The following is a 26632-nucleotide window of genomic DNA, read 5'->3' as shown; positions in this document are numbered from 1 at the left end:
ATAGCTAAGATGATCACTAGACATTTCACAGACTACCAAGGAACCAAATCCACCAGGAACCAAATTTAACATTTGGAAATATTATTTCTATATAGCATGTCACTCCCCATTGTACCTCCAGAGATTTACAAAGTATTCGGAAATATTAGGCCTACTAATGAAACTTTGTTGGTAGTGCCAATGAATTCAGTCAGAGTGCTAAATCTGCATATGCTGGATACTATGGTTTGAAATTACAGATTACACACTTAGCTCTAAATCAGCCAAAAACACACGCTTTTCTGATTAACAGATTTAATTGTGTTGCTGTGAATCCTGTGACTTACTAAAGCTGAGTATATGTCATAAAAGGATAAACTGCTTTAATGATTCTGACAAATGTCTCAGTTTAAGCAGCATAAAAACCTATCGTTATAGAGAAAGACCCAAACAGACACACACACGCAGGGTATGGAAAAGTTTTCCTAAAAGTCACTTCAGTAAGAATGACAAAGGGCTTTTTATTCTGTGATTTGTCTCTGGAAAGATCATACGTGTGTGCAGGAACTCAGATTCCATCTGTTGCTTTAGAGCCTACAGGCTTTATTGTATTGACTTTGTGCTCTTATCTGATGGCAATAAATTCTCACCAGAGTGAAACACCAGCTTAGCCAGTGTTTGAACCTGCTGTTCAAATCAGACAATGGAACGGGTCTTTTTGGAGACACTCTGTGGCTTGTGGACCACCCTGCGTGAATGGCCTTGGGTTTTTGCTGTTTCCATTCAGGATTTTCTAATGTGAGCAATTAAGAGATACTTCATTTCAAGGGTCTCATCAGCAGTTGCAACACATCAGTGAGCAATAACCTACTAGGACCCCAAAAAGAGACAGGGAAAGTTGGGAAGAAAGGGACAGGGGAGAGAAAAGAAGTGCCAATAAATATTTCTGTATTTAAGATTGTAACATAGATGTACACCGGTAACATCAATCTCAAATTTTGGAATGCAAAGACTAAAGAATTTCTACTGGTCCAGCAAATTTGAGACCTTATGCTATAAATAAAAGGCTAGAGTAAGGACGTGTGCACTAAACAGAAATGGAATTTCCTCCCCACAAGTCGAGCTCGCCGAACTGCCCTCGAGGATTTTTGTGTGTGTGGTTTTTTTTGTTTTTTTTTTTTTTTTTGGTTGTTGTTTTTTAATCAGAAGCAGCCCAGAGATACAAAAAAGACATGCCATGCCTTCGCCCCATTCATTCTCCCAAAATTTCTAGGGCTATTTTCTTATTGAAGGAACAACAGAAGAAACAGAAACTGGTCTCTGCCAAGGCACCAACCCACGGCCAGCCTCCATGATATGCCTCTATCTTCCTGAGAGAAGCATAGTACAAAATAGCGTTCAGTCTATTCCCAGTCAGCTGTGGACTAAAACACTCATGGGGTGGGGAAGAACAAGAAAATGTTCTGTTGCAGAAGATTATCCTTGTAGGTGTACTTGTTTTTATCATTTTGGAGTTTGGACTGTTTTTTAGTCATTTTCTACTGAGCTTCAAAACTTCGCTGTACTTGGTTGGGGCAAAGAGGTCTCGGGAACGTGGGGTTCACACTGGCTTTGAACCCACAGACCAGATTGCTTACACAGACCTGGGCAATTACAGTTCTCTCCAGGACAGAATCCCTCAGGGCGAGAAGGGGTAGGCCCCAGACTGGCTCCTGCTTTGCCCCCAAGGAACCGCCTTCTGCGTCTCCGCCGCGCCCTTCCTCCTCCAGCGCGCCCCTTCAGGCAAGAAGGGGGCGCTGAGCTCCGCGTTGGCCTCGGCCTCCCTGGACCCTTCGTTTGCTTTCCGAGCACCCATCTGGGGCCCAGACCCTTGAAATATTTAAGGAGATACGCGCAAGAGCTCGGGGTAGGAGTTGGCAAACTGTTTGTTCTCAGACTAGACTCTTCCTAAGATGAGGGGCAAAGGCTCTCCAGACGCAGACTCTGGTCTCGTTCTCGGAAATCCGCGTCTGAACCGATGGGGTCCGAGGAGCAGAAGCGTACACGGAGGTGCACGGCCGCGGGCACAGGTCCCCCCGCGTGGCAAGAGGAAGCGGCCCAGCCAGCTGCAGGGGCGTCCTCGTTGTGGGGCCGGGTAGAGGGAGGGCCAAAGGCGAAGGAATGAGGTCATCCCCCCACCCCTCGAAAAAACCTTCCTAAAAGTAAAAATGTAAGGGATCTCAGCGTAAAGGAACCTGACTTGCAACCTCAAAGGGACAATCTCTGTTTTGGGAAATGGCGCCCCCAGATGGCTGAATCCCATGAAAAAATACTCACCCGGAGCAGGGAAGGCCTGGGTGCACGGACCCGGGGAGAGGTGACGTCACCCGCCCGGCTGGCCAGCGCACGGCTGAAAGCCAGGCGGCAACGCGGTTGGAGACACCCGACAAGTCGCGACAGGTCCCCAAGGCTAGCCCGGTAGTCACTTCACCTCACCGAGGCACATGTAACGTCAGCAGCTGTACCACTTACGGTGTGGCCCGGTTCGTTACTTAACCTCTCCATGCCTCAGTTTCCCAGTGACTGCTTGTGTGCAAAATGATCATCCGGGAGCCGGTGCTGGATTGTGTGAATTAAGGAACTAGCATTTTACACGCATCGTTCTTCTCGCTTTCACTCCTCAGAAATAAGGGTCCATCCGCTTTGATTTTACTACTTGAGAGTGGGGGTGGGAGGCTCGCTTTTCCCAGCTCTTCGCGGAGGCCAAGCGGACTCCCTGACAGGACAGAATCTGAACGTGAGAGTGAAGGTCTTGCCTGTCCAGAAACTCTTGTAGCCAGCACAGGTTTAAACAAGAAGCCAAATTGTTCTGGAGAGATTGCTGGGGGCTTTCTTTGTGCCTCAAGCTTCTTCAGTGCCCTGAGCACAGGAAACACTCAAGCAGAGAAGCAGAGCCAAACCCAGGATACGGGAGGTCGAGGCTCTTCCGTAGACCTGCAGCATTGGGGTGGGATGATGTTCATTCTGTGTGTGTTCTGGACCAAGCCCCTCTCCAGGGACCTATGGGCAGCCCCCTTTAAGCAAGATGCCCGGTGGAGTGGGCATCCACCATCACTTACCCTGGGCTTGGGTGAATAGATTTTCCGTGCCTTAAATGGGCAGGGAGGGGGTAAACATGGACGGTCCATTGGTACAAATAAAAGCCTTTGGTGGGTTTTGATCAATTGCAAGGATCGAAGGAGACCTGTGGACCTGAGGTCAACTGGCAGCAGAGAAGAGTCTGGGTTCGTGAAGGCGCCGCCGCGGTGCCGCGCCACGTGTGAGCATCCCAGGGACCAGTCTGGGGAGGCGCGCTGGGATGGGCACCCAGTGTCCCATCCCTGCGCTGCTCATATGGGCAGAGCTCCGTGCCCGCGTCCCAGCCTCCGCGGGAGGTTATTGCCCTGTTCCCCAGTGATCAATTGGACCGGTCTTAGCCCAAAAGCAGAAGGGAGTGGGGAGAGCGACTTGAGGTGGGAAAGGCAGCAGCAGCGAGTGCAGGGTCGGGACCAGACTAAGTGGCGTGGGTTCCGGGAGGAGCAGCGATGGGCCGCAGGGGACGCCGCGGGCCGGGCAAACAAGCTGGCCAGAGGTGGACACTGCGCACGGCAGGGATGGAGACTCAGGCGCGACTCCCAGCACCTCCTGGCGGCAAGCCGGGCAGCGAGGGCTCCCAAAACAATGCAGCCGGCGCGCGGAGCGCGGGGGCCGCCAGCCACTTCCGGGCGTGCGGCAGCGCGGGGCTCAAACCAGCCAGACCAGCTTCGGGCTCCTTGAACTCCCAACAAGGGGCTCTGCGGGGAGGAGGCGACCCCAGCGGAGGGCGTTGGGGATTTAGGGGTTGGCCGGGGCCGGCGGGGGGTTGGGGGGGCGTGAAAGCGAGAGGGCCCTTATCCCACTCCCAGGCCCAAGTCGTAGCATCTCTCAGAGCTCACGCTCTTTATTAGCTCTTTCTTTTGGTGTGCTTCTGTTTCCTTTGTGGTTTCATTGCAAAGTAGTTTATGTTGGGAAGGGGGCTTTTAGGCCTCTTGGTGCTTTCGTTAGAGACGAAAAGGCCCTGAACCAATTTGGGGAAAGAGAGGCCTTTTGCAGCTACCCCGGGCCCTTCCCCAGCAGAGCACCCGGAAGCTGGGCTCTTAGGGACGCAGATTCTTGGAGTTCAGAATGTGCATTCTCTCCAGATGACGATTTTCCTGGCGTGTTTACGGTCAGCAGATAACACTGAGTGGGCTTTTGCCACCCATTCATTCATTACCCGGCTCCTCTAAGCAGCTGGACCGCAAAGTGTGCCTGATAACTTGGGCCTGGGAGCCGCCAAGGCCAACGCATCTTCCGGAAGGAGGGAAATTAGGAAGCCGGGGTCTGAGCCTGTGAATGACTCTTAAGTGGTCGGGAAGTAATAACAATGCGCCCACCTTACATATGAAAGAACTTCGCCCTCCGGGGATTATCTCTTTGGATCTTCACAGCCACCCGGAGACAGCGGCTGAGGAGAGCGAAGGCCTCCTGTCCCCATAGGGAGACTAGGGACAATTAGGCAAAAGGAGCCCACCCCCCAACCCAGAACTTACTGTTTGCAGTCAGAGACACTAGATCCCAGGCTCCACGAGAGCAGAGGCCGGCCTGTTTGTTCATTTCTGCACATCCAGCGCCCAGCATGGTGCCCCCTGGTACGTAGGGGATGAATGAGCTAATTCTAGCCCTCGTGGATCTCTAGGCAGGACTCCTTCCTCTACCTCGCTCCCTCCCAGCCTGCCCATCTTTTGTGCCCGTCTTTTGTGCCGGCCACCAGTCTTTACAAACAGTGCCCTGGGGGCCCATACTCCAGCTTTCCAGAGCGCACAGCTGCAAGGGCGGCTGTGTGTTAGAGCCCGTGATGCCTTCGAGTATTGAGTCATGCCATTCATTTAAGAAGGAAAAATCTCTCCAAAACGGGGAAATGGTGGGCAGTCCTGTGTGACTGGTGAGACTCTTGTAGGGGCGTTTCTACAACGACGAAACCCTTCCTAGGCACTCACTCCAACAGAATAACAAGCCCATTTTATTAGTATTTCGTTTTCCATGTAAAGTTCTGCTCATACGAATATATTTATAATTCTGATTTTTTTACGGCATTGGGGAGCACACCGACAGGCTGCTGAACGGTGGCTGGAGATTCGAGGGAAAACGAAGTTCGCCGAGGCGGCCTCGGGCGGGCAGGTCCCGGGCTCCATCACAGGGCACACGCGGCTACCAGGGACGCAGCCCCCCAACACACACACACACACACACACACACACACACACACACACACACACCCTCTCCCACTCATGCCTGGCAACCCAGCAGAAACTTCGGACTGGGGCAAAACAAGCCCGGGCCCCGGCGGCACGCGGGGCTAGGCGCGTTCCCGCCAGTACCTGGTCGCGAGGCCGCTCGCGGGGTGCCCTGCGTGCCCCCCACTCCCGCAGCCCGCGCCCTGCTCGCTCACTGTGGGGGCGCAGCGGCCAGGCTTCTCTGTTTGTTGTTTAAAGAAATCCTAGGGCGGGCGAGCGGCGGCATCTAGGGGAGGGGGCGCAGCCAGAATTCCCTTCCAGCAAGCGCGTGAGGGGCATTCTCAACGCAAAACCAGACCCAGAAAGTAGTGACCAGCCCTCCTCGGATTACCCTTCATTGGCTCCTCCCTTGCTCCCCCCACCCTCCAGATTTGCATAAAAAAGGCCAAGAAAACTCTGGCTGTGCCCCAGCAACGGCTCATTCTGCTCCCCCGGGTCGGAGCCCCCCGGAGCTGCGCGCGGGCTTGCAGCGCCTCGCCCGCGCTGTCCTCCCGGTGTCCCGCTTCTCCGCGCCCCAGCCGCCGGCTGCCAGCTTTTCGGGGCCCCGAGTCGCACCCAGCGAAGAGAGCGGGCCCGGGACAAGCTCGAACTCCGGCCGCCTCGCCCTTCCCCGGCTCCGCTCCCTCTGCCCCCTCGGGGTCGCGCGCCCACGATGCTGCAGGGCCCTGGCTCGCTGCTGCTGCTCTTCCTCGCCTCGCACTGCTGCCTGGGCTCGGCGCGCGGGCTCTTCCTCTTTGGCCAGCCCGACTTCTCCTACAAGCGCAGCAATTGCAAGCCCATCCCTGCCAACCTGCAGCTGTGCCACGGCATCGAATACCAGAACATGCGGCTGCCCAACCTGCTGGGCCACGAGACCATGAAGGAGGTGCTGGAGCAGGCCGGCGCTTGGATCCCGCTGGTCATGAAGCAGTGCCACCCGGACACCAAGAAGTTCCTGTGCTCGCTCTTCGCCCCCGTCTGCCTCGATGACCTAGACGAGACCATCCAGCCATGCCACTCGCTCTGCGTGCAGGTGAAGGACCGCTGCGCCCCGGTCATGTCCGCCTTCGGCTTCCCCTGGCCCGACATGCTTGAGTGCGACCGTTTCCCCCAGGACAACGACCTTTGCATCCCCCTCGCTAGCAGCGACCACCTCCTGCCAGCCACCGAGGAAGGTAAGCCTTCCCTCTTGCTTCCCCACTCCCTGCTGGGCTGAGACGCTCCCAGGAGATCCCGCCCCTGCCACGCATCCCAGTGCATCCCTGCTTGGGGTGCCAGTAGCGGGAAGGGCAGAAGTTCTGCCTGACCTGGTCTGTCATCACAACAAGCCTGTATCAAATTTGAGGCACCCCTCCCACGCCGCCCAAGTCTCGCGCATTCTCCTCCCGAGTTGTACCAGCTATACTTAAGGGCAGTTTAAAAATAAAACAAACAAACAAAAACAACAAAACTAAAAAAACGAAGAACTGAACGGCGGTTTAAAAAAAAATAGATACACGATTATTGTTAAAGATGCTAGCACTGGAGCTGCGCAGAGCGTTGGAAGTGGTGTTTGGTGGAGGAGTTTGTGGTGAGCATTCTGGCCAGAGGCCCCTCGCTCAGCCTCATTCTGCACCTTCCTACCACTGGGCAGGATTCTAGTCACAGGAACATTTCCTGTACAGAAAGGAAAACCAGGATGCACAAGTAGATAACCTTTTAAGGGTCTTTTTGTCCTTTGTCAATTTAGATTTTGGAAATAAAACCGGGACTGGCACGGAGTGTGTGGAAAATTGAACATTGGTTGTAACTGCTCAGATACTTGAGGAAGAGGGCATAAAGGGAATCTCTGGAAATCACTTTTCTATTGCTATCAGTTTTTAACTTAGGAGTGGTTTTGATTAGCTGGAGAAAATCATGCAAAAGAGATTCCCAAGTTTTTAGAAAACGGAGGGAGAGTTCCTGTGCAAAAACCATCAAAGCAATGAAAACCTCATGGGCTCTCAATATTTTTTCTGAAAGGAAAACATATACAATGCCTCTGAGCTGATTTGGGTCCCCTGGGTTGGAAAAGGGAGCTTCCTAATCCCTTTCAGGGCTTCAGCAGCCTCTCCCTTTCAATCTCTAGTAGTTTTCCTACAGACATCATTAGTTAAAGCAAATGCAAAGTTCTTTAGCAATCTTTCCTGGCAGGGACCATGAGTTTGCAATCATCTTATTGGTTAGATTTCTAATTTATTGCAAATGTTTGGCATTTTTCAAACATTTGTCCAACATGTACCATAGACCAACCAATACAGGTTAGTAATATTTTATATACATCCTGAGAGCTCCTAATTGGAAATGTTTGATTTTGTTTGGGTGAGGGGACTTAAGGGCAGTTTTATGTATGTTGCTTTTATTTCTTCCCACTATCAGCAGCAACATTACGCATCTTACATTTCTCCAAAAAGCCACTTTTCTCCTTCAAAATAAAAGTTTATGTTCTTCAAAATTCCAGCTTTGTGATTTTTCTAATTTGATAAATAACGCTTCTATTAAGTCACATAGTTTTCTATGAACATTAAATTTCACATTAGTGAAAATCTCATTTCACCTAAATTTTAAAGACATAATTAACACATTTATAAATGAGAGAAGGGCAATATAATTGTTCTTTTTTTTTTTTTTTTACTTCTCCCAAGAAATCAAACTCTTAGAAGAGCTTTTAGCAGGTCTTCTGATAATTGTGCTAGTATACAATCCCTAAGTTTGATCAGACCACTAAACCATTTTTGCTTCGTCTTTGATTAGCTTCAGAAACAGGTTTATTTATTTGTTTGTTTTGAGAGTTTGAAACAGGCACAGAAGGGCAAGAAGAACCTGTACCAGGGAGCTTGCAGATAACAATGAAATGAATGCTGCCTAACTCAAGCACAATCTTGGCAGAGGCACAAGGTGACACAGAACCACTTAGAGCAGGCTGTTGTAATTAGTGAGATGTGTTTTCAAGGTGGAAACAGCCCACATGTGGAACGCTAGCCAGTCACCCCTCCCAGTCCAGACTTGGCCCCCCTGAGATACAGAGCTCTGCCGAGTAGAGCCAACTACACTGGTGTCCTGTGGCTGAGAAAGACAATCTTTTGTCTATATTTTCTAGTTACCAGTTTTCCCAAATTCCTCAAGTATCTTTGGTTCTTTGGGTGCTTTCTCCTTCAAAAGGCCTTGGGAATAACTTTTTCAGACTGAATTTCCCAGAGGTTGGGAGGATGAGCTGAAAAGCTGCACCCTGTCTCAGTTAACTATAACTACATACACTTGTATACTCTGCCCACAACTCCCTTTTGAGAGTCATAATTTATTAAACACAACAACATATAGGCATTCTCATTTTGCTCCCACCACCCCTCCCCCCCAAAAAAATTGGGAAGCATGGGAAAACTTTCTTAGGATTGAGTGTTCCTGCTTTTATAGAGGAGGCAGAAGCTGAGGTTAAATAGGACAATTGCTACTTTTGTCTGGATAAGTCCCTTTGAGTTGTTTACAAACGCCACCTACTGTTCTCTTTTAAGCAAACTTACTAAAGACTGTTTTTCACATTTCTAGCTCCAAAGGTATGTGAAGCCTGCAAAAATAAAAATGATGATGACAACGACATAATGGAAACGCTTTGTAAAAATGATTTTGGTAAGTAATACAACAACAACAACAGATTTCACATTCAGAAGTTTTATTTACCAGTAAAACTTCAAGGTGCAAATCATTATGATGTTGCTAGATAAAGGTTGGGTAAAACACCATTATAGCTCATGTATCCCAAAATCATCTAACTTGATCTATCCTAGTTTCCTCCTTATGTAACTGTCTAGCATTGAGTTGTATCTTGTTAGGTGAGACTCATTGTTCTGTTAAGCCAATAATCAAATAATGAAAATTATTCAGATTATCAATTTCCAGTGGCACATTTTAAATCCCTTTTTTTTTTTTTTTTTTTTTGCCGACAGGCATAATCCCGAGTTCTATTTTCTTTTGATTACTTAACATGTGCACCAGGGATGGAAGTGTAAATATTAGCCCCAGCCAAACAGATTCAAGGCTTTAAATTGGCCACAAATAAAAATATTTTTACTTTCTTTATAACCCATAATGATTTTAAACCTCTGTGTTCTACCATTAGTGAATATATCCAAGGCACTGATTAATAATTTGTCAAGGAGGGGTTCCTTAAGTTGAAAAAGAAGAGTGGCTTACTGAGAAGACACCTAACATGGAACACCTAACAACCTTAAAACACCATCTTAAAATCCCTTTTAAAAGGTTTTTGTAAATTTTGTATGACTAAGTCTAGACACATTTGCCACAGTTTCGAAAATAGTTTTAAAAAGGAAAAAAAAAGCTTAGAAATTTACTTTAGCAAGATACATGATAGATCACATGGTGTTTGGGGACAATAAAAAACACATGTGATATGTTCCATAAGTTGCAAGTCACTCCCCTGAAGACAGGATTATAAGGGGAAAGAGAGCTGGGGCTTTGTCTACATGGAACTCTACCAGCACCTCATCTGCTGACTTCAGGGCTCTCAGGTCAGAAGAGGAGCCCAGCTAGACACAGGATCAATGCTAAATTCAGAGTTGGGAATGACCAGGAACTTCACCCAGAGGCATTCTTGCTTTTATCCTTTTCCAAGGGCAGGTACCTTTTGGTGTGTTGGAATTATTGGTACCTTTTAAAAAAGTATTTATTCAGGCACAAGGCTGAACTTACTCATAAGCAGATATGTTCCCTGCTCTGTCAATCAATAATGGAGTCTAATAGACCCATATTAACACTTCTACATATTCAACATAGTCCTCGAGACTGAGGGAAATCACTCCAGCTCTCACTCTCCTTACCTTGCCATCCCAGAAATCTCAGGCCTGGTCAGGTCCCTAAAACTCTGGAACCATCCAATCCCTGCTCTTTGACAACTCCAGGTCTCTTCCAGAAAGTGTCCTGGGTTTAACTCTGACTGGTCCCAGAACTACCATAGTCCCGGTGTTGGGAAAGGCTTCACACTGCTGAGGAAAGAGAAAGAAGGGAGGTAGCTCAAAGTCCTTAGCAACTTTTCCCCTCAGGAGGAGCCACAAATGGGGCTGACGGGGTTTCATATGCCTGTTTTCAAATGTATACAACCCTCAAACTGGCTAAGAGCCAGGCATGTTAGCAGCAGATAATTCCAAATCACCAGAGCCTTACCAAAACACAGTTCTCAGCCCCCATGCTACATCACTTCATTAAGGGCAAGATAGAAAAATATCATTTTATAAAATTTCTATTAAAAAGCCTATAAAATATCATGTTCTTCTGGCAGTTTATATCCTTTGCACTGCACATAAAACAGATCCTTCCTGACTTCCATGAAAAGTTGATTGTTACACTGTGGAGCTCCATAACAATTGGCTTTGGGAAACATGCACACACACCTATTACTTGCTTGCTTTGTGGCTGACCTTACAGAAGACCCCCTTTCTAAGGATGCCCTATCAAGACATGAGCCAAAACATGGATGCCTGTGTGCCTTAGTGTGCTCCCTCCTTACAGAGAGAAAGCCTTTCAAAACAACACAGAAGTTATCACACTTAAGGTATCACATGCATAGATACCTCACAAGCTTTGTTTTCTATTTCTTCACTCTTTTTGACCCATAGAGGGATAATGAAGCAGAATTTTAAGAACTGCATCATAAGATTATTGGTTTATAAGCACTATTCCATCTTGCCTCTGTTCTTTGTGAATAATGGAAAAGTAGGAGGAACAAGCATAGAAATCTGATTTATTTGACTTGACTACTCTGGGAAGGCATCACCTCTTCCCTACTGTGCTCCTGAAGTACAAGGGAAATTCAGTGGTGCAAGTACTGGTGAATAAAAAATGGTTCAGAACTACCTTCCTATATATACAACCTATTGTAGGACCAGAAAGTATCATCACCTCTGCCTGCGATCACATCCTGCATCCTCAGTCACATCCTCCAGGACAGGAAAGGTTATGTGGGGGATTCAATTCTCTCTGTTTGGGCCTAGCTGAAAATCCAGGGAGAAAATCCCTAATGTTTTCTCATGATAAACATTTGCAAAATTAGTTATTTTAGAGCTAGACAAAGATGACTAAAAAATCTTCCTCCTGGTTAAAAGTGATGGTTTTTTCTGATGTTTGGAGCTTGAGAATGTTTCATTTGGCCAGGTGAAATCTTATATATGCCCTACCTGTACTACAGACAAGGCTCCCAGGTAAAGTGTAATCAGTCCATTTCTCCCACCATGGTGAGGTCTATCCAACACCCTACTCCCAATGCAGAGGACACAAAAGCATGAAACATTTCCACAAGTATGGCTTATTCCACGACTTGAGTCTCAAAAACTGAGAATTCAGTACCACAGTTCAGATGCATATCATACCAGACAAAACCATGGTTGGCCAAGTCATAGCATTTTTGATTTACCTGCTAGAGATTCTATAATTTCCTGGTTGACTAGAAAGCCATACTCAGTCAAATTCCCATTCTGATATTTAAAAAAAAAAAAAAGAAAATCTCAAAAACAGTTGTACGCAACACAGAAAAATCTTCCTCTATTACTAATTTAAACATAGATTAAACTCCATCAAAGTCAGGAAGTCATACTTACACATCATCTATACAGAATAGCTGTCAGGGGCACACAGGGTCTTAGGACACATTGCAGCTGGGCAAGTTTATGCTGCAACCACTACAAAAACATGGACATTGCCTCAAGACACCACAGTGGTATTACAGGAGGAGGTTTGGCAACTGGAGTTCTAGCAAACAACCTAAACTGGGTGACCTCATGCAAGTCACTAAACTTCTCTGGATTTAAGATTCTTTGTGTATTAACAAGCAATTTTAATGGGATGATCCCTTCTAACCTTAAAATTCTATTCTTTTCCTGCTTTCATGGAGTCTTGAAATTTAATTCCAGCATACACGTTTGTAGGGCTTTCTTTCCCAGAGCATACTGTTCATGACTATAAAACGTGTCCTTTATAGTAAACCACTTACTTTTGGTCTTCGCATTCTAACGAGTCTACATATACATTTTGGAAACAGTACATATATGATCCGTAAACGCCTTGGCCTTGGACTGGCAAATGAGAGCATATAAGGATGAGGTCTTCAGAAAAACACTTTTATGACTAACCACGTTGTGCTGTTAAAAAGAGACTTGCATATTGTTTCTCCTGCTTTACCAAATCAAATGCAGCTGTAAGATCAATTCTCCTTCCCTGTAATCTGATCTTTAGAAAACAATGATTGCGTGACACAGTTTCCTTACAGGTTTGTCCAAAAACCTCTTGCATAATAAATTGAGTTTAAACTTTACGGCCACAGAGGGATCATATTTCACCTAAAAGTCAGGCATTTCTTTTCATGCTTAAGTTTCCAACAGAGGAAGTCATTTGTTGGAGAGAGCACACACCACATGCAACTTTCTTACAAACACAAGGGTGAGTGAGGAAAGGAGAAGAAAAGTTAATTGAGTCCCGCAAAGAGAGAGTTTTGAAAAAATGGCTGATTGGAAACCAAGTGCCTGGCAAATGCTTTGAGGCTTTAGCAGTGGAGCCACCTGCTGCCCCTAGCTCCCAACCCCCGATCTGCAGCCTCTGAGGGTCCCATTAGCTCTAGGAAGCCTCTCTTTCCTCATCCAGGCCAAGTCACACGAGTTGGCAGAATGGGGGGAGGTATACTGTATTCCCTCATTATAACTGGCATGACTCTTTCTGCCCTCCCTCATAGCACTGAAAATAAAAGTGAAGGAGATAACCTACATCAACCGAGATACCAAAATCATCCTGGAGACCAAGAGCAAGACCATTTACAAGCTGAACGGTGTGTCCGAAAGGGACCTGAAGAAATCGGTGCTGTGGCTCAAAGACAGCTTGCAGTGCACCTGTGAGGAGATGAACGACATCAACGCGCCCTATCTGGTCATGGGACAGAAACAGGGTGGGGAGCTGGTGATCACCTCGGTGAAGCGGTGGCAGAAGGGGCAGAGAGAGTTCAAGCGCATCTCCCGCAGCATCCGCAAGCTGCAGTGCTAGTCCCGGCATCCTGATGGCTCCGACAGGCCTGCTCCAGAGCACGGCTGACCATTTCTGCTCCGGGATCTCAGCTCCCGTTCCCCAAGCACACTCCTAGCTGCTCCAGTCTCAGCCTGGGCAGCTTCCCCCTGCCTTTTGCACGTTTGCATCCCCAGCATTTCCTGAGTTATAAGGCCACAGGAGTGGATAGCTGTTTTCACCTAAAGGAAAAGCCCACCCGAATCTTGTAGAAATATTCAAACTAATAAAATCATGAATATTTTTATGAAGTTTAAAAATAGCTCACTTTAAAGCTAGTTTTGAATAGGTGCAACTGTGACTTGGGTCTGGTTGGTTGTTGTTTGTTGTTTTGAGTCAGCTGATTTTCACTTCCCACTGAGGTTGTCATAACATGCAAATTGCTTCAATTTTCTCTGTGGCCCAAACTTGTGGGTCACAAACCCTGTTGAGATAAAGCTGGCTGTTATCTCAACATCTTCATCAGCTCCAGACTGAGACTCAGTGTCTAAGTCTTACAACAATTCATCATTTTATACCTTCAATGGGAACTTAAACTGTTACATGTATCACATTCCAGCTACAATACTTCCATTTATTAGAAGCACATTAACCATTTCTATAGCATGATTTCTTCAAGTAAAAGGCAAAAGATATAAATTTTATAATTGACTTGAGTACTTTAAGCCTTGTTTAAAACATTTCTTACTTAACTTTTGCAAATTAAACCCATTGTAGCTTACCTGTAATATACATAGTAGTTTACCTTTAAAAGTTGTAAAAATATTGCTTTAACCAACACTGTAAATATTTCAGATAAACATTATATTCTTGTATATAAACTTTACATCCTGTTTTACCTATTCTTTGTCTTCTGTCTTGTCTTCTTAGTAAAAGGAACTGGGAATGGAGCTATGTATGGGTGGTCACTTCCTTCCATGAGCCCAGCCCTCCAGCAGTTTAAAGTGATCTACTTCTCAAGTGACTCAGAAAGTGTCTCCCCCTCCACCACCATGCCCCACATCTCACAGATTTCACCACTTTCACCCTGTGGAAGCAGCGACTTGCAGCCTCTAGAAAGGGGTTGCCTTCTTTTGACCCTTCTGAGCAGTCCAGCTGCAGCTATGTGGAAACATTACCCTAAACTTAAGGTTTATGAGCTTTACAGTTGTGCTTTTCATTTCCTGAGATTTTTCATACCGAAAAAGAATCACCACTGCAAAAATGTTAATTCCTTCCCCGACTCAAATCTAACCCTCAGATAGAGAGAGCCATGATTTGGAGAGTATCCACTGGAATGCAAGGAGGAGGAAGGGGATGGTGAAAACTTGAACTAGGGTAAAAAAGGAGAGACAGACATCTGTCCATTAAATGTCTCTTAGTCCTTTCCAACTGCTATAACAAAATACCATATACTGGGTAGTTTATAAACAACAGAAATTTACTTCTGACAGTTCCAGAGGCTGCAAAGTCCAAGATCAAGGTGGCGGCAGATTTTGGTGTCTAATGAGGGCTTTCTGCTTCACAGATGGTGCCTTCTTGCTGTGTCCTCACGTGGCAGAAAGGGTGAACAAACTCCCTCTAGCCTATTTTAAAAGGGCACTAATCCTATTCATGGGGCTCAACCTTTGGTCATGTTTTGAGGAGTTAGCAGCTCTGGCATCACCCAAATGTCTGCCTCTTGTCATATATAGTCATGTTTCACTTAAAAACAGGGGAGTGTTCTGAGAAACACATTGTGAAACCATTTTGTCATTCAGTGAACATCGTAGAGTGTACACACACAGTCCTAGATGGTATAGCCTACTACACATCTAGGCTATAGAGTAGAGTCTATTGCTCCTAGGCTACAGACCTGTACAGCATGTTACTGTACTTAATACTGTAGTCAACTGTAACACAATGGTAAGTACTTGTGTTTCTAAACATATCTAAATATAGAAAAGGTACGGAAAAATATGGTATAAAAGATAAAATATGGTACACCTGTATAGGGCAGCTCCATTATAATTCTATGGGACCACTACTGTATACACAGTCTATCACTGACCAAAATGTTCTTAGTGGTGCATGACTATATGTCTCTCCATACGCTTTCCAACTCTTCTACCTCATGCCTCTTGTTCCTGTCTTTGACAAGGGCACAAGCCAATGAGACATGCTCATTGGGGCAGAGCAGGTAGGTTTTTGTTTGATCATGATTATATTATATCAATAATCATGATTATATTCTTACTTTTTCAACTATCAGATTTCTTTTGTAGGCAGATGAAAACGTGAATGTCCATCCACTATTGGAAGAAGAAAGCAAGTAATCAAGGATATTGGATTTCTGAGTTTCCTGAGATGACTCATGACCCATTAATAAACTTAAAATGCCCAAAGTGGGGATTAGCCTAAATAACCAGGTATAGTGGCTCATATCTGTAATCCCAACTACATGGGAGGCTGATGTGAGAGGATCATTTGAGGCCAGGAGTTTGAGACCAGCCTGGGCAACATAGCAAGACCCTGTCTCTCAAAAAAAGTTTTTTAAAACTACATATCTGCTATGCATTTAATTCCTCTTCCCTTTAATAAATAGCTTGAGAAATGAGTTGTTCTACAAGAGATATTTATAAAAGGTTTTAGGGCAGCATTTTCTAAGTGAACAAAGGATGAAGGCAGTGTCTACATGCACAAACCAGTATATTGAAATTCACAGGATTAAAAAAGATCAATTTTGTCTAAAAACACCCTTTATTTCTGTCTTAGTTTGTTTTCTGCTGCTGTAGCAAAATATCACAGACTGGGTAATTTACAAACAATAGAAATTTATGTGCCTCATGGTTCTGGAGGTTGGGAAGTTCAAGAGCATGGTGCTGGCATCTGATAAAGGCCTTCATGCTGTGTCATCCCATAGTGAAAGGAGAAAGAGTAAGAGAGTGTGCAAGACACAGAATGGAAAGGGACTAAACTTATTATTTTTATCAGGAACACACTCCCACAATAAACCCACACCTGCAATAATGGCATTCATTTATTCACAGGGCAGAATCGTCATGACTTAATCACCTCTTAAAGGTCTCACCTCTCAACACTGTTGCACCAGAGATTAACTTCCCAACACATGAATTTTAGGGGATACATTCAAACTATAGCAATTCCTGATTCCCTATTCTCTAATTAGATGATAATTTGGCCAGCCTTTTTATCTTTCAACTCTTATTTACTATCAAGTTTTCAATGCTCTTAATGGATGGGGTTACCTTGAAAAGCAAATCCTGGCATATGTATCCCTCATGTAGTCACTGAATCTGGATTATTGAACAGTTTGATTTTTGCCTATGAAACACATTGCACAAATACAAATTAATTTATTAACTCAGCAACTATTTATTGAGCACAAACTATTGACATTGGCTTATTCATTCAATAAATATGCATTGAGTGCTTACCACATGCCAGACACTGGTCTAGATGGTGGGTACACAATGATTCTGCCATCCTTCAGCTTGTATTCCACAGGGATTGTGTTAGGCACTGGTAATACAGCAATGAATCATTCCCAAAAGGAACTCATAATCCAATAAGGAAGAGAGGCATGCAAACAACTCCAATGCTCTATGTTAAGAGGGAGATGTGTACATGCACCAGGGATGACTTAGAAGAGAGAGTGGTTCACTTGAGTTGAAAATAGAATGTTGGGTTTAAGTTGAGATTAGGATCTGGGTAAAGGTACTTATAAGAAGAGAATTTTTAATAAGTTGAACCAGAATATCTTCTATTAAGACAGAGCCTTAGAAATTAAGTATCATCAGTTTTACATATTGACCAATCAACAATGATATTGTGCAATATTATGCTGAAGCTATTGCCCTAGATGCTACAAATAAATCTAGCATAAGACCCACAGATTTTAGAGTAAATAACATTAAAAAATTCTCAACTTGCAAAATGATTAAATACATTATTGCTCAGAAACAAATAGTAACTAAACATAATAAAACAAAATACTTTAAAATGCACTCCATTACTGTCCAGAGAGTGATACAGAGAGGTAAGTGCTAAAAAAGTTCAATTAATAAAGGTATCAGTTAATGCAGATAGTGTTAGAAGGACAAATCAAAGAATCTGTCTCAAGATGTTCCAATTCAGAGTAGTAATAACCATTAATTTGTCATTTTATGTTATGAAATGAGAAAAGCACTAGAGCTTGGTGTAACTGGTACAAAATTTTCTACAGCTGTATCATCTAAAGTATATCAAGATAAACCACTTAACAGACTAGAAGCTGCAGTAAAAGTGTCAAGTTCATTGGCGTAGCTTTCGAAATTCAGAGAGACCTAGGCAAGTCAATAGTTTCTTCAAGCCTCAGTCTTCTCATCTATAAATAATTAAGAACTATTACTCAGTAAGTTATGCCTAAGCTTGATACATTCTCATCTCCTTTCCATCTTCTATGTTGAAGCATAATTCTCAGAGCTTGTTTCTGTGTTTGAAGACACACACAGCAGGAAGGGGCGCTAGTCTGCATCTGTTCTTCCCCACTACCAGTGCTCCACACACCGTCTTCTTGGTACACTGGGTTTTTCAAGGCCTGAATGGTAGCAGTTCAAGCAGGCAAGAGGAAGAATGAGATCACAAATATTATCTACTTCTCTCTTCTCCCAAAGAGACTTTTCCACCCCCAAAAGAAGACTCAGGCATTTTTGTGCTGCCCTCTTCTCCCTTGGCTTCCCTAAGAAGCATCAGGGTTCCAGTCTGCAACAATCAAAGTGCTGAGAGTCAGTTCCATTACTCAGCAACCTTACACTGAGTACTCAGTATGTGCAAGGCACTGTCCCAGGTGCCGGGATTCCAATGATGACCAACACACCACGGCTAGCCTTCAAGAAGCTCATGATCTAATGTAACAAACACATGTGATGGACAATAGTAACTGAGACCCAAACCTCCCCAGACACCCCTAAACACAGTCTTCCTGGGCCCCATTTGTTCTTACGGGTACCAGTAAGTTCACATTTAAAATAACACTAAAAATCAAAATCTCCAGGCCCAGAAAGTTTCACTGGAGAATTTTACCAAACATTTAAAAAAGAACTAATGCCAATTTTACACAATCTCTTCCAGAAAATAGAAGAGGAAGGGACGCCTCCCAACTCGTCTTATAAGACTAGTATAGCCCTAACACTTAAACCAGACAAAGACAGCACACGCAAAAAAGAAAACTACAAATCAGTATCTCCTGTTAACTTAGACATGAAAATCTTCAACAAAATGTTAGCAAACCAAATCCAGCAATACATAAAAAGAATAATATACTATAACCATGCTGGTTTATTTAAGGTATGCAAGCCTGGTACAATATTCAAAAATTAATTCATGTAATCTACTATATCAACAGGCTAAAGAAAAAAATCATGATCATATTAATTGATGTGATAAAAAAGCATATAAAATTCAATATTCATTCATGATAAAATCTGTCAGCAAACTAAGAATATAGGGGAACTTCCTTAACCTCAAAGAGCATCTACCAACAATCCTACAGTTAATATCATACTTAATGGTAAATGACTGAGTGCTTTCATTCTAAGATCAAGAACAAGGCAAGGGTGTCCACTCTCTCCATTCTTATTCAACATCATATTGGAAGTTCTAGACAGTCAAATGAGGCAAGGAAAAGAAACAACTGACATACAAACTGGGTTAAAAAAATAAAACATTGTCTATTTACAAATACAATTATCTACATTTTAAAAATCCCAACGAATCTACAAAACACTGAGAACTAATAAGTGAGTTGGGTAAGGTCACAGGATACAAGATTGACACTCGAAAGTGACTGCATTTACACATACCAACAAGTTGTTTTGTTGTTAGTATAAAACACTATAACCATTTAGAATTGCTCCAAAGAAAATAAAATACTTAGGTATAAATCTAACAGTGTATGTACAGGTTCTATATTTTGATAAATCCAAAATGCTGATGAAAGACATCAAGGACGACCTAAATAATTGGAGAGATATGCTATCTTCATAGATTTGAAGACTTAATATAGTAAAGATATCAATTCTCCCCAAACTGACTGACAGATTTAAAGCAATTCCTATCAAAATCTCAGCAAGCTTTTTGTAAACATGGGTAATCTTATTGTAAAATATATATTAAAATAAAAATGCTCTAAACTAGCCAAAATTATTTTGAAAAATAATATAGTGGGAGAAATCATTCCTCCCATGTTAAGGCTTACTATATAGCTACAGTAATCAGGACAGTGTGGAGGACAGACACAGATCAGTGGAATAGAACAGAGAATCCAGAAATGAATCCAGACAAATATACTCGAATAACTTTTGACAAAGATGTGAATGCAATTCAATGAAGTAGAAATCCTCTTTTCAACAAATGGTGCTGGAGCAATTGGCTATCCCACAGGCAAATAAAAAAATTAAAAATCTAAATCTAACATTGCACACAAAAGTTAACTCAAATGAACCATTAACTTAAGTGTAAAATAGAAAACTATAAAAGTTTTTGAAAAATAAGACAAACTTATCTTTTCAAGACCTAGAACGTGGCAAAGAGTTCTTAGATTTGATACCAAAAGTACAATCCACAAAAGGAAAAATGAATAAATTGAACCTCATAAAAAGGTAAAACTTTGGCTATGTAAAAGGCCCTGTTAAGAGGGTAAAAAAACAAGTTACAGATTAGGAATAAAAGACTTGTATCTAGAATATATAAAGAACCCACAAAACTTAACAGTAAAAAAATCAAACAAAGCACTTAGAAAATGAGCAAAGCATGTACAGACATTTCATGGAAGAGGATGTACGTATGGTTGTGATGGTGTCTGCCATAGGCATGGGAGGAGGAAGTGGTAGCTATATCCTGGATACTTGCCATCCAGGTCCTATGGGACAAAGGAGGTTTTCTTATAGTGCCTCCATAATGGACAAAGCTTTGTGTTTAGGGTGCCATTAAAGTGGGAATTCCAAAAACAGGAAAAGAAAAAAGCACTTAATTTTTTGTTTTCTCAAAAAAATCATCAAAATAGTCATCATGAGACAAAACCAGATAATTGTGTACTTCTTTATATTTTTAAAACTAAGTTAATGGGTTTTGGTGTTTTTGTTTGTTTATGGAATAAAAATATGGGAATGGTGTGGGGAGGTCATAATAATCTTTTGAGTGTTTTGAACTTCTAACAATTTTAACACTCATTGATGAAAGTGAAAAGCAGGGCAGGGCTCCGAGTAAAGCATGGTCTCTATTACATTTCCTGGTCTAACACCATTAAACACTTGTCCTACAGAGGATTAGAATGTGTGCATTGGCTCACAGAGATGCAAGGCTAGAAAAGAAAAATTAAACAAAACTATCCCCAAACCAGTAAAGTTACCCTCTGCCCATCAAAGCCAGACAGATGACCAATATGAATCCTTTATGATATAAGGAGTTATGTGGGCAAAGAAGAAGGTAGGATGGATGTGCTGATAAAGGACAAAGTAGAGAAAATAGACAATTCAACAATAATAGTTGGAGACTTCAAGACCATACTTTCAATAATGGAAAGAACAAATGAGAGCAGAAGATCAATGAGGAAATAGAAGACTCGAATGATACTATCAGCCAACTTTTCTCAAGTTGTTATATAAATGGGCCAAAGATGGTCTCTGTATATTGGCCCTCATGTTGTTTACTTCTTCACAAGAGGCTGGGACCAGTAGTTGAAAGCCCACCAGGACCACACTAAATTCTTACATCTAATTGCCTTAAATATATCCTAAATAAGTATACTTTTTACCATTTAGTGCCTATCCTGTTTTGCATGCCCTGCAGTTTTGCAAAACAGGATAGGCTCTAAATGTAGGCCCACATCTGCTTGTCATAGATAAGACAAACTCTGTGGCTAGAAAAGACCCCACCCAATACTGCCCTTCAAAGCCATCTGATCCGAAACTCTCCACCTTGCTGCTGAGTGACATCACCTAGACACATGAGCCCCGCCTCCAATTCCCCTCTCCTCTAGGAGTTCCCTTACCCTTTTCCCCTTTTGGATGGTGGCCCTGTCTCTGGAAGGTCTCCTGCTGTGAGAGACTTCCCCTCTCCTGCAACCCTGTTCAAATACCACCAAAAAAGCTTACTGTACAACACTGCCATCTTGTGCTCCTGTCTTTCCTTGATTAGCCCCCAAATCCTTGAACTTACCACACAAGTGCAACTGGAGAATTCCCCAGGATACACCACATTAGGCTGTATAACAAGCCTCAATAAACTTAGAAGGACTTTATAAACCCACACAAAGTATGCTCTCCAATCACGACGAAATGGAATTAGAAATAAATAACAGAAGGAAATTTGAAGAACTCACAAAGATACAGAAATTAAACAACACATTCCTAAATGTGTTTGACATTTACGTGAATGAAAACAAAAACCCAACAAAGCCAAAATGTATAGGATGCAGCTAAAGCAATGCTCAGAGGGAAATAGCTGCAAATGCCTATATTTAAAAAGAAAAAAGATCTTAAAGCAATAATCTCACCTTCTACCTTAAAAAATAAGAGTAAACTAAGCCCAAAGCAAGCAGAGGAAATGAAATTGTAAAGATTATAACAGATGTAAATAAAATTGAGAATAGGAAAATAATAGACAAAATCAATGAAAAGTTTATTCTTTTAAAAGATCAATAAAATTGACAAAACTTTAGCTAGTTTGACCAAAATAAAAAGAGAGAAAACCCAAATTACTAAAATCAGGGATGAAAGTGGACTATTACTACCAACCTTTCAGAAATAAAAGAGATTATAAGACAATACAATAAACAATTATATGCCAAAAAATTGGATAACCTAGACAAAATTGACAAATTCTTAGAAAGACACAAAATTTCAAAACTGACTCAAGAGCAAGTAGAAAATCTTTATAGACCTACAACAATGAAAGAGATTGAATCAGTAATCAAAAAACTTCCCACAAAGAAAAGTTCAGGCCCAGATGGTTTCACTGGTGAATTCCAAACATTTAAGGAAGAATTAACATCAGTCATTCACAAATTTTGCAAAAAAAAAAAAAAAAACAGAAGAGGAGGGAACACTTCCCAAGTTATTCTATGAGGCCAAAATTAACCTGATACCAAAACCAGAAAAAGAAATCACAAGGAAGGAAAACTGTAGACCAATATTCCTTATGAACATAGATGCAAATATCCTTAACAATGAAGCTGCATATTAAAAGAATTATACAACATGATCAAGTGGCATTCATCCCAGGAATGCCAGGTTGATTTATCATATAAAGAACAATCAATGTAAGACACTATATTCATGGAATAAGAGAGCAAAATCACATGACTATATCAACGGATGCTGAAAAGCACTTGAAAAAATCCAGTATCTTTTCAGATAATAACACTCAGTAAACTAGCAATAAAAAGGAACTTCCTCAACCGGATAAAGCCATCTACATAAATCTCATAGTTAACATCATACTTAATGGTGAATGGCTGAATACTTTCCCTTTACGATCAGGAAGATACAAGTAGGTACACTCTCACCACTCTTATTCAATATAGTACTAGAAGTTCTGGGCAACACAGTATGGAAAAAAGAGAAACGAAAAAAATGAAAGAAGGAGGCAGAAGAGAGGAAAGAGAGAGAGCATGAGAATCCAGATTGGAAAGGAAGAAGTAAAACAACTACTTCTATTCACAGAAAACATGATTTATATATAAAAAATTCTAAGGAAGCCACTGAAAATCTACTACAACTAATAGGAGTTCAGCAAGTTTACAAGATACATAATCAATATGCAAAAATCAAATGTATTTCTATAGCAATCAACAATACAAAAATAAAATTAAGAAAACAACTCTACTCTAGCATTAAAAAGAATAAAATAATTAGGAATAAGTTTAACAAATGAAAAGTGTAAACTTGCAAACTGAAAACTACAAAACATAATTGAAATAAATTTTAAAACTAAATAAATAGAAAAGCATCCCACATTCCTGAATTGGAAGACTTAGTATTAATACAGTGATATTCCCAAATTGGTCCATAGATTCAAAATAATCTTATCAATATTCTAGCTGCCTTTTTGGCAGAAACTGACAAACTGATTCTAAAATTCTTATGATAACTCAAGGCACCAGGAATAGCTAAGAAAATCTTGCAAAAGAAGAACAAAGTTGGTGGGAGGGGAGGAGAAAGAGCAAAGTTGGATGACTCACACTTTCCTTTTTTAACATTTAATACAAAGCCACAATAATCAACACACTGTGGTACTGACATAAGGATTGGCATATAAACTGATAAAATTGAATTGAGAGTTCCAAAATAAACCATTATATTATGATCAATTGATTTTTCACAAGGGTGCCAAGACAGGAATTCAATGGGGAAAGAATAGTCTTTACAACAAATAACAAATGGTGCCAGGACAACTGGATAGCCACATGAGGGAAAAAAAAAAAAAAAAGAAAGAAAGAAACTAAAATGAACTTGGACCCCTACCTCACACCAAATATAAAAACTGATCCAAACTCGGCCAGGCACGGTGACTCATGCCTGTAGTCCCAGCACTTTGGGAGGCTGAGGTGGGTGGATCACCTGAGGTCAGGAGATCGAGACCATCCTGGCCAAGATGGTGAAACCCCATCTCTACTAAAAAAATACAAAAATGAGCCAGGCATCACGGCAGCTGCCTGTAATCCTAGCTACTTGGGAGGCTGAGGCATAAGAATCCCTTGAACCCAGGAGGCAGAGGTTGCAGTGAGCTGAGATCACGCCACTGCACTCCAGCCTGCGTGACAGAGTGAGACTTTGTCTCAAAAACAAAAAAAATTGATTCAAACTCAATCAAAGACCTAAATCTAAGAACTAAAATTATAAACTCTTAGAAGAAACACAGGAATAATTCTTCATGACCCCGGATTAGGCAATGGTTTTTTAGACATGACACCAAAAGAACACATGAGTAAATTTCAAATTTTCATGTTTTGAAAGTTTTATCAAAAAAATGAAAAGACAACCCAAAGAATGAGAAAAAAATTTGCAAAGCATATATCTAACAAAAGACTGTCACATAGAATATATAAAGAACACTTAAAATTCAACAATAAAATAACTAATAACTCAATTTAAAAATGGACAAAGGAACTGAATAGACTCTTCTCCAGAGATATTCAAACGGTCAACCTGGGCAACACAGCAAGACCTCGTCTCTATAAAAAAACTAAGAATTAGCCAGGCATGGTGGCACATGCCTGTAGTCCTAGCTACTGGGGAGGCTGAGGCAAGAGAAATCACTGTCACACCCTGCACTCCAGCCCGGGCAACAAAGTGAGACCTTGTCTCAAAAAACAAAAACAAAAAAAAAAGATATTCAAATGGCCAATAATCACACAAAAAGATGCTTGGTATTATTAGTCTCTAGGAAAATATTTAATACAAATCAAAGCCACAATGAGATATGACTTTATGCCCACCAGAATGGCCAGAGTCAAAAAGTCAGATCATAACTGTTGGTGAGAATGTGAAGTAATCAGAACCCACATACATTGCTAGTGGGTTTGTAAAATGATGCAGCTACACCGGAAAACAGTTTAGCAGTTCTTCAAAATCTTAAATGTAGAGTTACCATATGAACCAACGGCTGCACTTGTAGAGATATACTCAAGAGAATTAAAAACATATATTCACAAAACATTTGTATATGTATTTTCATAGCATCATTATTCATAATAACCAAAATGTGAAAAAAACTCAAAAGTCTATCAATTGATGAGTGGATAGAATGTAGTATATCTATATAATGAAATATTATTCAATTATAAAAAGGAATGAAGTACTGATACATACTACAACATGGATGAACCTTGAAATAATTATGCTATGAAGCCAAGCACAAAGACTTCTTGTATGATGCTATTTATACATAACGTTTATTACAAACCATAGAGACAGAAAGTAGACTCGTGGTTGCCAGGGGATAGAAGAAGGGGGAAATGGGGAGTGACTGCTAATGAATATAAGGTTTCTTTTTTGGGTGATAAAAATGTTCTGGAATTAGATAGTGGTGATAGTCATTTTGTGAATATACTAAAAAAACATAGAATCAAACTGTTTTAAAAAGGCTGAATCATAAAGTATATAAATTATACCTCAAGCCTGTTTTTTTTTTCAAAGGCAGATGTTCCAAGATCACAGAGTTAGAGTATATTATAATTAAGACTTGAGGCCAAATGTGTTTGATCCTAAATCCCACTGTCTTAACTACCAACTATATTCCTGGACCTCCTTCCTTTCTCACATTATAGACTTCCTAGGAAATGTTATTCACTCCTGGAAAGTTTGCCACTGTCGAAAACTAAATCTCTAATCTCTAACCTTTCTCCTGACTTCAGTTTGTCTTATGTGGACAACTATGTCTGTGTAGCCTGGAGGTGTCTCAAAATCAATACACATTAAACCAAACTTAACTTCACTTTCCACAACCTTTTCTCCCTTTTCTGGATAGTCTTATCAGTAGTTAATTCCTTGTTGGCTGGGGCAACCTTTCCAGTGCTCAGCCATTCAAAAAGCAAAGATAATCAGCCCACCCTAAGTTCAGTAAATGATCAAGTTTTTCACGCTTAGGCTACCAGCTCTGACCATGTTATTTGGCGATTCTTCACACAAACGATGTACTACTAAGAATTTTTCAATTTCATTTCATTGCTAATAATGCCTTAATATACTTACAGTACAGACACATATTAACCAAGCGGAAAAGATAGAGACCCTCTCTCCAAAATAGTCCAGAGAGCAAGTAGGAGAGGCAGGGCTCTGATTCAAGTCTTGTAGTGAGTGTGTGGACCCAGACACTGTCCTTCTCCCACATTTATCACAGGCTAAAGCTTCCTTTGAGTTGTTCACTTAAAGTCATCACCAAAACCATGGCCACTTTAAAGGATATCTGTAAGATCGTCAGAAAAATCTTACACTAGTAAAGCCTAACTATTCCTTAGATTACCTACTAACCATCACATCCAGAATGGTTTCTAAAATTTTCCTTCTTTCAAAGCCCCATAGAATATTTTTACTACAAAAATTAAACATTTTAAGCAATTTTATCTCAACATATTAAATTTTTAAAATACTCAAATTTAGGCCGGTGGCAGTAGCTCACGCCTGTAGTCCCAGCACTTTGGGAGGCCGAGGTGGGTGGATCACCTGAGGTCAGGAGTTTGAGACCAGCTTGGCCAACATGGTGAAACCTGGTCTCTACTAAAAATACAAAAATTAGCTGGGCGT

General features: G+C 42.0%; 1 protein-coding gene across 1 annotated transcript, besides 9 other annotated features; it reads left to right on the top strand.

The window, feature by feature from the left end:
- Nucleotides 1707–1876: an enhancer, noted in NCBI's record as "experimental_74859 CRE fragment used in MPRA reporter constructs". NCBI's record gives its function as "activates a minimal promoter by MPRAs in K562 erythroleukemia cells, with activity observed for both the introgressed and non-introgressed 4:154714161 variant alleles {active_cell/tissue: K562}" and the evidence as "EXISTENCE:reporter gene assay evidence [ECO:0000049][PMID:34662402]".
- Nucleotides 1980–2681: an enhancer, noted in NCBI's record as "H3K27ac-H3K4me1 hESC enhancer chr4:154713271-154713972 (GRCh37/hg19 assembly coordinates)". NCBI's record gives its function as "activates a minimal SCP1, AML or CMV promoter by ChIP-STARR-seq in naive and primed H9 embryonic stem cells {active_cell/tissue: H9 hESC(naive and primed)}" and the evidence as "EXISTENCE:reporter gene assay evidence [ECO:0000049][PMID:30033119]".
- Nucleotides 2109–2403: an enhancer, noted in NCBI's record as "tiled region #5783; HepG2 Activating non-DNase unmatched - State 23:Low, and K562 Activating DNase matched - State 20:ReprD". NCBI's record gives its function as "activates a minimal TATA promoter and a strong SV40 promoter by Sharpr-MPRA in HepG2 and K562 cells {active_cell/tissue: HepG2 | K562}" and the evidence as "EXISTENCE:reporter gene assay evidence [ECO:0000049][PMID:27701403]".
- Nucleotides 3655–3824: an enhancer, noted in NCBI's record as "experimental_74856/74857 CRE fragment used in MPRA reporter constructs". NCBI's record gives its function as "activates a minimal promoter by MPRAs in K562 erythroleukemia cells, with activity observed for both the introgressed and non-introgressed 4:154712213 variant alleles {active_cell/tissue: K562}" and the evidence as "EXISTENCE:reporter gene assay evidence [ECO:0000049][PMID:34662402]".
- Nucleotides 4086–4787: an enhancer, noted in NCBI's record as "OCT4-NANOG-H3K27ac-H3K4me1 hESC enhancer chr4:154711165-154711866 (GRCh37/hg19 assembly coordinates)". NCBI's record gives its function as "activates a minimal SCP1, AML or CMV promoter by ChIP-STARR-seq in naive and primed H9 embryonic stem cells {active_cell/tissue: H9 hESC(naive and primed)}" and the evidence as "EXISTENCE:reporter gene assay evidence [ECO:0000049][PMID:30033119]".
- Nucleotides 4788–5489: an enhancer, noted in NCBI's record as "OCT4-NANOG-H3K27ac-H3K4me1 hESC enhancer chr4:154710463-154711164 (GRCh37/hg19 assembly coordinates)". NCBI's record gives its function as "activates a minimal SCP1, AML or CMV promoter by ChIP-STARR-seq in naive H9 embryonic stem cells {active_cell/tissue: H9 hESC(naive)}" and the evidence as "EXISTENCE:reporter gene assay evidence [ECO:0000049][PMID:30033119]".
- Nucleotides 4788–5573: a biological region, named in NCBI's record as "OCT4-NANOG-H3K27ac-H3K4me1 hESC enhancer GRCh37_chr4:154710463-154711164".
- Nucleotides 5404–5573: an enhancer, noted in NCBI's record as "experimental_74852 CRE fragment used in MPRA reporter constructs". NCBI's record gives its function as "activates a minimal promoter by MPRAs in K562 erythroleukemia cells, with activity observed for the introgressed 4:154710464 variant allele {active_cell/tissue: K562}" and the evidence as "EXISTENCE:reporter gene assay evidence [ECO:0000049][PMID:34662402]".
- On the top strand, nt 5717–14209 carry SFRP2 (secreted frizzled related protein 2). The gene is made up of 3 exons (NM_003013.3): nt 5717–6466; nt 8856–8936; nt 13045–14209. Exons 1-3 carry the CDS (start codon nt 5965–5967, stop codon nt 13347–13349), a joined length of 888 nt encoding a protein of 295 aa, NP_003004.1. The 5' UTR covers nt 5717–5964; the 3' UTR covers nt 13350–14209.
- Nucleotides 23313–23482: an enhancer, noted in NCBI's record as "experimental_74848 CRE fragment used in MPRA reporter constructs". NCBI's record gives its function as "activates a minimal promoter by MPRAs in K562 erythroleukemia cells, with activity observed for both the introgressed and non-introgressed 4:154692555 variant alleles {active_cell/tissue: K562}" and the evidence as "EXISTENCE:reporter gene assay evidence [ECO:0000049][PMID:34662402]".

The sequence above is a fragment of the Homo sapiens genome, chromosome 4, assembly GCF_000001405.40.
Source record: "Homo sapiens chromosome 4, GRCh38.p14 Primary Assembly".
Lineage (NCBI taxonomy): Eukaryota > Metazoa > Chordata > Mammalia > Primates > Hominidae > Homo > Homo sapiens.
The sequence above is the reverse complement of the archived record's forward strand: the minus strand, read 5'-3'. Positions and strand labels throughout refer to the sequence as shown.

Bases quoted from the DNA above. Each gene is read 5' to 3' on its own strand.
- SFRP2 (NM_003013.3), top strand. From the start codon at position 5,965: ATGCTGCAGGGCCCTGGCTCGCTGCTGCTGCTCTTCCTCGCCTCGCAC. The intron at 6,467-8,855 runs GTAAGCCTTCCC...TCACATTTCTAG, and splicing joins CCTGCCAGCCACCGAGGAAG to CTCCAAAGGTATGTGAAGCC. The intron at 8,937-13,044 runs GTAAGTAATACA...CCTCCCTCATAG, and splicing joins GCTTTGTAAAAATGATTTTG to CACTGAAAATAAAAGTGAAG.